We start from the raw sequence: 12,288 nt of genomic DNA on the forward strand, positions 1-12,288 counted from the left end.
ACAATATATTTTTTTAAAATTCAGCCCTTCAAGGTTTTGTAGTGCTTTTTTTGCTCTATGCATGCACATATACCCACACACACATACAAAACCTATGATCATTTCTAGTGAGATAAAATAACTACACTTGAAATTAGTAATCGTTTCATAATGAAAGACAGGAAATCAAACCAACAGACAAAATACCCTGTATATGATGAGAGTTGATCAGGCTCAAAAATGAAATGTCATATATTAGTACCAGGCAATTCCCTGATACCAACCACAATGATAAAAGTCAATGAAATAAAAAAAAGTGTTAACTCATATGTAGATCACTTGAAATTGAGAATGTGACACAACTTATTTTTACCAGGTTGTACTTTTTATGAAGATAAAAATTACTCAGATATTTAATGTGTTCTATTAAAATAAAATTTTAATGAAGTATTCAAAAATTTCACATATTTGAAACATAACTACATGCGATTTGAAAGAAGACTCTGCTTTGTTCACCATAAATTCAATGTTCATAAATATTTTAGATAAACACAATTTAAATCTGATTATAAAAACTTACAATATTGTTAAAAGCAAGCTGCCACCTGACACATTCAGAAAAGCACATGTTCTCAGAGACTATTTTATTAAGCCACATATATTGATATTGTAACCAATATGTTAGAAAAACAACAATTTTTGAAAATGTAATTAGCACAATTTTTTAAGAAGATAGGAAAGAACACAAAGATACAAATCCAATGTACTTGACACATTAATTTGAGGCTGAGAATATTTGACATCTTCATCATTCAGGTGGAAGAGGCTTCAGATGTTACTGTTCTCATTATTTTCCAGGTAATCATAAAAATTAAGAAAAAATATTTACAGTGTTTAAGCATTTGCGTTTAAAAATATTTTATCAAGTAAGGTATCAAAAGTGTAATGAAAGCTGTATTAAAAATTTGAAAACTATCTAAGCAAAAAAGCACGTATGAGACTTTTATTATGTATGAACCATCATTGTGTTTCATTAAAAAGATCCCTGATTAAGGAAATTTGCTAGGCAAATACTGTCAGCAAACACTACACTAGTTATATTTTTATTATGTTTTATGTTTTAACTGCATTTCATTCAGAGTTACATGTAATCCTACTTGAAGTGATTTAAAAATTATTTTTATAGTGGAATCTGTTCTATTGTCCATATGATAGTTTAAAATATGAGAAATTCAGATAATATTTTACAGTGTTAATACTTAAACTCCAGATGTTGTGGAAACAGGTTATATATTTTGCTGCTAATTTTAGTAATCTAAGTAAGTCCAATTCACACTCACAAAATTACCTACTTTTAAATGTATATAGAATGCCCGCCTTAAAATTGAAGCTAAAGTTTGATTTTAACAGCAAGGAAAAATAAATATGACTGTTTTGAAATATTAAATTGTTACTTCATAGTTGAAACTGAGGTGGTATTTTTTTGACATTTTTGAAAAATTCTTAATGAACATTTATGTTGGCAAAGGAACGTTTTCAGAGCCAATATTAACCAATCATTGAAAGCAAGCACTAGTTGAATATTGGTAAGTTAGTGATATAATTTTGAAAAATAGAAATCAGTTCTTGTCGAACTATCAGAATTTAATTGGAAAATGTAGGAAGATAGCACGCAGAAATAGTTAAAAATCAGTTGCAATTTTTTGTCTGTGTAAATGATTTCTCAACACTGTGCCCTGAAAGACAAAATTAAGAAATAAATTAACAACTAAAACTATTAAACTTGAAATAACTTATACTAACTTTTCTTCTAATTCAACGGATTGGAGTTCCATGTAAGAATTTATTTGACAAAATTGGATCTGTTGTTAAATATGAAAACCACTCAATAGGAATTCTGTCAAGGATACAGTACAGATGAAGAGGCATTCCAGAAGTTTTGTTTTGTTTTCCTGTAAAAGAAGGTAGAGAAGGTGATTTCAAGATTGATTTTATTTCTAAAACAAACCTGATGCTGCATGTATCTAGCAGTTTACCTAAATGAACAAGTAGATTAATAGAATAATAGTGACTAGCTAAATATCTGTTCCCATTAATATCTGGCACTAGAGGCTTTATGTAATCTATTTTATTTAATTTGATGTGTGATTGCACATTTCTCTGTCTATCCAGTATCTTGGGGTGTAATAGTTCTAAACTACTGTTACAAAAAGTGCTTTGATTAAAAATTTAGGAAATTTTCTTCTAGTTATAAGCTTTTTAAAAAAATAATAAAAGCCCGAAAGACTCAATAAACTTTTATTTTCCAAAATAAACTCTATGGTCATGTGAAAGTCTGCAAAAAGCATTTTCTTCTATATGTACACATACTTGCATAAAAAAGTCTTTAATCTTGTGTTTTTAGAAGTTTTAGATTTATGGGAAAAATCTTATTTCATTATTTCCCTTCCCAAGTATTGACAATAATTTCCATTCTCAGATTTTCTTTATGTTGATATGGAAAGGCATATTGTCATAATCTGTTAAAACTGCTATAACAAAAATTATCATACACTGGGTGGCTTCTAAACAATAGGAATTTTTTCTCACAGTTCTGGAGGCTGGAAAGTTAAAGATCAAAAGATGCCCTCAGATTCAGTGTCGGATGAGGGTCATTTTCTGGTTCATAGAACTCATCTTCTCATTGAGTCCTCATATAATAGAAGGAGCTCATTAGCTCTCTAGGGTCTCTCTTACACGGGGACTGATATAGCTTGGACGTTTGGTCCCTACAAATCTTACGTTGAAATGTGATCCCCAGTATTGGAGGTGGGACCTGGTGGGAAGTGTTTGGGTCATGGGGGCAGATCCCTCATGAATGGCTTAGTGCCTCTTCATGGTAATGAAATAGCAAGAGATCTCATTATTAAAAAAGAGTCTGGTATCTCTCGTCTCTCCTGCTCCTTTTCTCTTGCTCCCTCTCTCACTATGTGACACACCTGCCTCCCCTTCACCTTCCTCCATGAGTGGAAGATTCCTAAGGCCTTCATCAGATAGAGATGCTGATTCCATGTTTCTTGTACAGTCTGTAGACCTATGAGAGAAAATAAACCTCTTTTCTTTATAAATTACCCAGTCTCAGGTATTCCTTCATAGCAATGCAAAACATACTACACAGACACTAATCCCATTCACAAGGTCACAGCTCTCATTACCTAATCACCCCCACCAAAAGCCCCACCTAATACATTGGAATTAGGTTTCAGCATATGAATTTGGGGAAAACAGACATTCAACACATTTTCAGAGATCTGATATTTCTCTATAATTTATGGCTTGTTGGCTTTGTAAAAATAGGGGATAATTTTTACTACTGGCAGGTAGAATTGGCAGAAAAGCAATTTTTGTTGAGGATTTCCAAAGAAACCAAAATTGGATATATGTTCTGCAATGTAAGAAAATTGGATAAATGCCAGTGTAGTTAAATAATTGACCAGACAATTGGAAATTTTCAGGAAAGAAAAAATAATCGTTTGAATAAAGGCAACCTCTAAGTCAACAGTATGTATTAAAAGCACATCTCAATGGCTTTTATGAGCATATTTAAAATAATTCAACTGTTAAAATGCTGTGGAATAATTTTAAATTCCTACATATGCATATTTGAAATATTGAGTGTAGGCAGGAAAATTGCCAGGATGTTTATCAAACATAAATAAAAGTTGTTTTAGATTAATTTTCTTGTTAACAACAAAATCAGAGTGGTGAAAATTATTTTCATTATTTATTTATCATGAGCTGACTAATGTTATTTAACACTTCGTTTAGGGATTGATTACAATGATACTTTGTGGAAAAAAAAGAGTTCATATGTGACTGGAGCCCAGATGAACTTTTATAACATCGTGTAATGTATTTGGTGGTGATCCTCCGACTGCTGCCAAACAGCCTGGTTGTATTGTTATCAGTTGAGGAGCTAATTAAAAATACAGAGTATTGGCATGTCAAGATGATTTTTAGATTCAGTGGGTCTAAGATGAAGCTTATGAATATGTGTTATTTTACAAATTTTCCAGGAAATTCTAATTCACCTTCATAATTCAAAGCAATCAAATGATTTCCCTAGCCACCCCACCAAACCTAGAAAATTTGTACCATCCCCCCATTGAAAGGTATTATCTTCTCTTATTGCTAAGCCTATGTTCATTTTGTCAACTGACACAATCAAGACAAATCCGGATATATATATTCCATGAGGGAATTCTTCTGTTTTTGGTGTATTATGCATCCAGCACAGTGCTCAGTCTTACATAAAGATGTTATTTTAAATTTACAGCAACACTTTCAGGGAGATTTCCTCATGCCCTTTTAAAAGATGAGGAAATAACATCTCAGAAAGGTTAAATATCTTGCCCAAGGCCAAGATTAAAACCTTTGTTCTCCAAAACCTTTCCAAAGGATATCACCAATGTCACCACTATATAAAAAGGAGAGCTCCAAACACCTAAGAGATCAAGGTTTAAGACCTCCGAAGGTATTTGCTACAGCAAAGAAACAAAGAAACACTAGTGGTGTTCATGGTTTCTTATCCCATTCTTAAGCCTTTTAGACTCTACTTTGTGACATAATTCACATCAAAACTTTCGATGAAGTCTCTCCTGCTCTTCAATTTTAGAGTTTCTCCAGTTTAAAAATTGCCTCAGTTTTACTTCTTTAAGAATTGGGATAGCTTTAAACACAACTGCAGATTCTTGCACACTCTTTCCTTGAGGGGAAGGATCTGTGTCTCCACCCCTTGATTCTGGTTGAGGCTCTCACTGAGTGAGCCAGTAAAGAATATTGGAAATGTCACTATGTGGGACTGCAAATGCTAGATCATAAAAGAGTATACTACTTCCCATGAGTAAGCTCATAGGAGCACTTAGCTGTCACATAAAAGGGTTCAACTACCCTGAAGCTGCTACAGTGGAGAGGCCACATAGAGGTATTCTTACTGACAATTTTGGCTGAGACCAGCCTTCTAGCTTTCCCATCAGGGTACAGACATGTAAGTAAAGAAGCCATTTTGGAAATGGGTTCTTGAGTCCAATTCACTGTCTTCCCAGTTCAGACCCTAGTCTCATGGGGTAGAAGTAAGCCATTCCTGCTCTGTCCTGTCTGAATTTCTAACCCATGAGGAAAATAGAACAGATGTTGCTTGATGTCACAAAGTTTGTGGTGGTTGCAAAATTGCTAGAGAAAGGAACAAGAATGGCTATCAGCTTGATTTGACTTTAGATTTTGAGTCCATTATTTCCTCTTTGTAGTCCAATAAGCCCCTGCTCCACACAAACTGGCATCCCAGATTTTTAACTGGTGCTTTATTCACTAAGATTTCCCAGGGAAAAGCCTTCCCTAAACAGTTTGTTCCTACTCCGTTATTCTCTGCTGCTCGTTTATAGCCCAAATGGTCACTGCTGCTAAACCCAGGAATTTAGGTGTTAGCTACTACACACAAATGGAGAAAGATTTCTTTGGAACAATAGGGCTTGTTTTGGGGCTATTGTTCGCTATCTTTTCCACTTCTAATTAAGAGCTGTATTAAAATTCTTAACATCGTGTTGACCAAGAAGGCCTTCACATTTCCTTCACTTCACTAAACTTTAGAGGGGTTTCTTTCTGTCTCCATTCCGCAGATTTTCCTCTTACCCTGACTCTTACAGAATACAGATGACCTAGCTAACAAGGTCCCTCTTCTCCCTTTTCTTAGACCATTTACTTTAGGAAACTTGTAAATTCTTTGCCCCTTGAGGTGTGAATCTTTTTTTTGTTTGTTTGTTTTTTTTTAATTATTATTATACTTTAAGTTTTAGGGTACATGTGCACATCGTGCAGGTTAGTTACATATGTATACATGTGACATGCTGGTGCACTGCACCCACTAACTCGTCATCTAGCATTAGGTATATCTCCCAATGCTATCCCTCCCCCCTCCCCCCACCCCACAACAGTCCCCAGAGTGTGATGTTCCCCTTCCTGTGTCCATGTGTTCTCATTGTTCAATTCCCACCTATGAGTGAGAATATGCGGTGTTTGGTTTTTTGTTTTTGCAATAGTTTACTGAGAATGATGATTTCCAATTTCATCCATGTCCCTACAAAGGACATGAACTCATCATTTTTTATGGCTGCATAGTATTCCATGGTGTATATGTGCCACATTTGCTTAATCCAGTCTATCATTGTTGGACATTTGGCTTAGTTCCAAGTCTTTGCTATTGTGAATAGTGCCGCAATAAACATACGTGTGCATGTGTCTTTATAGCAGCATGATTTATAGTCCTTTGGGTATATACCCAGTAATGGGATGGCTGGGTCAAATGGTATTTCTAGTTCTAGATCCCTGAGGAATCGCCACACTGACTTCCACAATGGTTGAACTAGTTTACAGTCCCACCAACAGTGTAAAAGTGTTCCTATTTCTCCCTATCCTCTCCAGCACCTGTTGTTTCCTGACTTTTTAATGATTGCCATTCTAACTGGTGTGAGATGATATCTCATTGTGGTTTTGATTTGCATTTCTCTGATGGCCAGTGATGATGAGCATTTTTTCATGTGTTTTTTGGCTGCATAAATGTCTTCTTTTGAGAAGTGTCTGTTCATGTCCTTCGCTCACTTTTTGATGGGGTTGTTTGTTTTTTTCTTGTAAATTTGTTTGAGTTCATTGTAGATTCTGGATATTAGCCCTTTGTCAGATGAGTAGGTTGCGAAAATTTTCTCCCATTTTGTAGGTTGCCTGTTCACTCTGATGGTAGTTTCTTTTGCTGTGCAGAAGCTCTTTAGTTTAATTAGATCCCATTTGTCAACTTTGGCTTTTGTTGCCATTGCTTTTGGTGTTTTAGACATGAAGTCCTTGCCCATGCCTATGTCCTGAATGGTAATGCCTAGGTTTTCTTCTAGGGTTTTTATGGTTTTAGGTCTAACGTTTAAGTCTTTAATCCATCTTGAATTGATTTTTTTGTAAGGTGTAAGGAAGGGATCCAGTTTCAGCTTTCTACATATGGCTAGCCAGTTTTCCCAGCACCATTTATGCAATAGGGAATCCTTTCCCCATTGCTTGTTTTTCTCAGGTTTGTCAAAGATCAGACAGCTGTAGATATGCGGCATTATTTCTGAGGGCTCTGTTCTGTGCCATTGATCTATATCTCTGTTTTGGTACCAGTACCATGCTGTTTTGGTTACTGTAGCCTTGTAGTATAGTTTGAAGTCAGGGAGTGTGATGCCTCCAGCTTTGTTCTTTTGGCTTAGGATTGATGGGCAATGCGGGCTCTTTTATAAAAACCTCTTGCTAATTTTACAGCCCAGTAATGTCTTTTGCAAGGACATAAAAGCAATCCCTTTGAAAAGTAATTATCAAGGCAGATAGCGGCCCTATCTCCCAGTCTCTGTGGGAAGGTAAGAACATAATTTGGGTGAAAGTCTCTCTCCCAGTTGTAAAAGTACCTCCTGCCATGAAGATGGAAGAAAGTTCATTTTTCCTTTGGGCAAGGCCAATTAGCAAACACAAACTGTGATATGGTATACACAGCATAGAATTTATCCTGAAATCAAATCTTCTATCTGCATTCATGGGCCATATAATACAACCATGTTATTTAAACTTCCTTTTATGTCCATATTTCATTTTTAAAATGACACTAATACCCTACTTATATGATGGCTAATAACTTAGCTTATGTAAAATTATAAGCATAATTTGGCATGTGATAAGGGCTTAACAGATGTTATAACACTTCCTCTTTAGTTCTTGTTAAATTCATGAGCAGTTTAGAGAATCCTTGAGAAGGGCCTTCTACCACCACAGAGAATGCGATATACCAAGTATTAGAAAAAAAAAAAGCTCTTTATTAAGGGGGAAATAGGAAATACAAGAAAATAAACTCTACTGGTAGTGATTTATCAGTATTTAGGAAGATAGAATAATCACAAAGTAAATGCCACATGCTTAAATATTTTACCCAAGAACTCAGCTAGACCAAAGAAGAATAACCAGAGTCTCCAGCTGAATCTACAGTTTTATGAAAATACAATATTTATATTTATAATCCAAAAATAAAATATATGACTCACTGAAACAATAGTTTAAAATGTCTTATTAAATTATTTAGTAATATTTATTTGTGTTTTCCTTGGAAAAATATAGGTTAAGTTGAAAGCACTTTTCAAAATGCTTAAAAAATTTAAAAATACAAATGAGGAAAAATGAGATAAAATAATAGGAACAGCACAGTGGAAACATCATTTGGAAATATATAAATTAATAAATTGTTACAGAATTGTTGAGGGGAAGAAAAACAGGAAGAAGAGAATCATTTTTTTAAATTTTTGCTGTGTGCTAGACCACAGGCTAGATATTTGCATGTATTCATTTAATTCAAACTCACAACAAACTTATGGAGTAATTTCTAAAATTCCCATTTTATAGATGAGTAAACAGAGGCTCTTAGAGGTTATGTAAGTGTTCCTTGGCCATAAAACTGGTGCTGGAGAGACCCTACTGGCTTCTCTGTCTTCAGGTACATGGGGGATTATCATTCTCCACGTCTTTTGCAGTTAGGTAGGGTCATGTTATTATTTCCTTGTTGTGAACAGAAGTGACTGATGTGGGTCACTTTTTGATTTAAATGTATACGTGAAAAATTTCAATGTTCTCTTTCCTTGCTAAATTGGACAGAGGAGCCACCACATCGCAAAGAGCACAGCTATAAAACTAGAGCATGTGAACCTAGAGCAATGAGTTTCTGCATAGAGGGTAATTGCTCCAGGAAGTTACTCCATCTCATAGTGGACTTTGTGTGAACAGGCAATACACTTTTGAGGCATTCAGTGTGATCGAAGGCCAGGCCATTCTGATGGCAAACTTTTAATTCTTTTTCTATCTTTTTTTTCCTTCAAAAGCCACAGCCCCAGTCCTTAATTTATACGGAGATTGTGCACCTGAATCCCATGAATTCTATTCTTGGGGGTGTTTCGGCAAAATCATCCAGATTTTGTTTGGTCTCTTAGGATTTTTACCATAATTTAATTCAGAGAGAAAAATAATATTATGTTCCTACAGGTGAGGGACTTGGCACGTACCTGATTTATTTTGTAAAAATCTATTCAAGGAACACATATGCATTTTCAAACCATTTGGACTCTTGATGTTTGCCTAAGTAAAATTATTGTTAGTTCAAGAGCATCTAAATCCTTTGATCTGTCAATCAGGGTGGTTAATAGTGAAAGGTATGTTGTAGCCCTGAGTATTTCCACATCTAACTAAGAACAGCTTATAAGAGTGATTTTGAAAAAAAAAACTGATTCTAAACAGCAAAGCTATAATAAATAATTCAGTCTTTAAATACAGACCAGATCCCTTAAAGGCAAAGAATGAATATACTCAGCATATTAATGATTTTCAGGTTTTATGAGATGCTTAGCAATTTCAGATGAAATTGTAAATGCTTTTATTTGAGAACTTTGAACATTACATCTTTAAGTATATTAAATGAAAGACAAGGCATGAATACGGATGTTGATCTTTGAGCCCAAATATTTCCATATTTTAATAATGCCTCCAGGGCTCTAGAAATACCCAGGGCTTTAAAAACTTGAATCAAATTTTTTTTTTTTTTTTTGTGAGATGGGAGTCTCCCAGGCTGGAGTGTAGTGGCTCAATCTTGGCTCACTGCAAGCTCTGCCTCCTGGGTTCACGCCATTCTCCTGCCTCAGCCTCCCGAGTACCTGAGACTATAGGCGCCCGCCACCAAGCCCGGCTAATTTTTTGTATTTTTTTAGTACAGACAGGGTTTCACTGTGTTAGCCAGGATGGTCTCGATCTCCTGACCTCGTGATCTGCCCGCGTCGGCCTCCCAAAGTGCTAGGATTACAGGCGTGAGCCACCGCACCCAGCCAAAAACCTGAATCAAATTTCTGTTATGGTTTTCTGTTTGAACTTGTAAAAGTCACATATTATCTTAGAATTTAAATCCCTGATTTATTAAATGTGACTGCTGTGCAACAAAATATAGTAATTTTGGAAAATAATACAGGATAAAAACCATACTGAATGCTTTATATGCACTACTATGGATAAGTAAATTAAAAATTATTTTTATTTTTATTTTTGGAGATGGAATCTTGCTCTGTAGCCCAGGCTGGAGTGCCGTGGCCACAGTCTCGGCTCACTGCAACCTCCACCTCCTGGGTTCAAGTGATTCTCCTGTCTCAGCCTCCCAAGTAGCTGGGACTACAGGTGCACGCCACCATACCCGGCTAATGTTTTTGTATTTTTAGTAAAGACAGGGTTTCACCATGTTGTCCAGGCTGGTTTTGATCCCTGAGCTCAGGCAATCCACCCACACTGGCCTCCCAAAGTGCTAGGATTACAGGCGTGAGCCACCTCACCTGACCTAAAAATTATTTCACATTGCTGTTTATAATATGGCTGACACTTGACTAATATTTATTCTTATTATATTTGCACTTCTTCAGCAAGGTAAAACATTTGAACTTATAACAATTAGGAATAGACCCACCTTCTCTGATTTTTGTCATTGAATTGTGTCCGTGTAGTGTTAGGAGATGCTCCTAGTACAACAACCTTAGGAAGAGGAGTCAGTGAGGATCAGCCACTGCGTTTGAGCCTGAATAATAGAATGAAAAGCGCTTTAAGAGAGTTAAGGCCTCATTAAGCCATGAGGCTACCTTGTTGGCTTAATATATCTTATGTGGATGGTGCCCTAAAACCCAATCCTCTTCGAGACCTTTGGCAGTACCTGGCCAATAGTCTTGCCACAGGGACAGTGTCGCTGAATCATGGTCCAGGCAAAGTCATTTCCAGTCTTTCATCAATCTTGTCTATCTTAAGGAGTAGAAGACCTGTATGATGAGATCATCTGTTGTGGGGTCTAGGAACAGAAAATGAGGAGAAAAAGCCACTGTCCTCCCTCTCCTCACTCTATAGCATTGCATGTGCTCAATTACATAGTTTACATGAGTATGTGATTTCCTGTTTCTTTTTCTAACTAAAAGATAATCCAACATGTGCAGGTAGGCAAGAGCTAAGAATTAAATCAGCAGGTTTAGGTCAAAGTGGCTAACATTCTGTATAGAGGAAGCTGACAGGTCAAATTCAAGCTTGAACTGATACGTACAAAGCCAGAAGTGGAGAGACAAGATACAACCAAAGGTACATAAAGGTAGAAATTAGAGAATTTCATATTCATGGGTCAGTTCAAACTCCACCTCTTCCATGAATTTTCTGCAATAGCTCTTTCAGGAGAAACTGCTTTTTACATAATCCTTTTTTATCTTGTTTGCTGATCATAAGTGAAAGATACATGCAGACTTGGACAAATAGAGATAAAAAGAGGGTGTGTCAGAGTGTTCATAGGACAAATAATGGTGTGTTTTGATGGCTCATTTCTAATATCAGGTGCTTGATAAGTGGATGAATCATCCTGGCTTAAAGATATAAGTCTGATGTGGGCATTACCTTTGTATGGTAGTTTGCTCCTGATGACAAATGCAGGCTGGTCTGTGATAATGCTTTTGGCTGTATGGTGAGTGAGTGAACCAATGAACCATTGAGCCAGATAATGAATCAGTGTTGGGCCTGATTACATTTTAAATGCATGTTAACCATTTAGCGCAAATTGGAAATACTATAAAGAGTCTAAAATGATTTACAAGTTTGATTTAAATAAACTGAAATCTTTAAAATCTAAGCAAAAGGAGATAGCTTGTAGAAAGCACAGGCCAACTGACACTGAGTTGGTATCTAATAAATGTTTTCCTACTATTACTTTGTGGCTATATCTGAGCTTCTGCCAACTAATAATAGTTATGTATAAAATGTCATTGACTAGATTTTGTTTACAAATGATCTAAATCTATGGGCCTGAAACATCATAAAATTTTATCTACCTAAATTTTAATACACTATATTATAAAGAATCTGGAGTTTTACTTAACCCACATTTTTAAGCAACAAATGTGATATTCAGTTTACTCTAATTCAACTAATTAATCTGTTGATAAGACAAATCTGAGTCTTTTATCACTAGAGAAAGAGATCATCACCTCTGCATAACTTTGACAATTTCCTCAAGGTTGGATGGAAAGGTAGAAATTTATTGAGAATTGGAAGTTTGGTTTAAGGCAAGTCTTTCAATATAAACACTTGATTGGGATTGGAAAGGACCATAATAGCTTCCCTTGGTGGAAACAAGAGCAAGATTTCAAGGCAGAAGATTTTTGCCTCAAAAACAATTTTAGGGCACAAACTGTTAATGTTTTCTATTGAAGAATT

At 35.6% G+C, this 12,288-nt stretch overlaps 1 long non-coding RNA gene across 4 annotated transcripts; it reads right to left on the minus strand.

Annotated features, from left to right (window-relative positions):
• Positions 1-488: 488 nt before the first annotated feature.
• Positions 489-11,139, minus strand: LOC107984362 (uncharacterized). Of its 4 annotated transcripts, XR_001748064.1 has the most exons (5): positions 10,754-11,139; positions 10,514-10,621; positions 2,958-3,052; positions 1,890-1,931; positions 489-822 (listed from the first exon to the last, which is right to left on the minus strand). It is a non-coding gene; the product is annotated as an uncharacterized LOC107984362 (long non-coding RNA). The 4 variants fall into 4 exon arrangements; XR_001748063.2 differs by lacking the exon at positions 489-822 and having other exon boundaries at positions 1,062-1,931; XR_001748062.2 differs by lacking the exons at positions 489-822; positions 2,958-3,052 and having other exon boundaries at positions 1,062-1,931.
• Positions 11,140-12,288: the final 1,149 nt, after the last annotated feature.

The sequence above is a fragment of the Homo sapiens genome, chromosome 11 (assembly GCF_000001405.40).
Source record: "Homo sapiens chromosome 11, GRCh38.p14 Primary Assembly".
Lineage (NCBI taxonomy): Eukaryota > Metazoa > Chordata > Mammalia > Primates > Hominidae > Homo > Homo sapiens.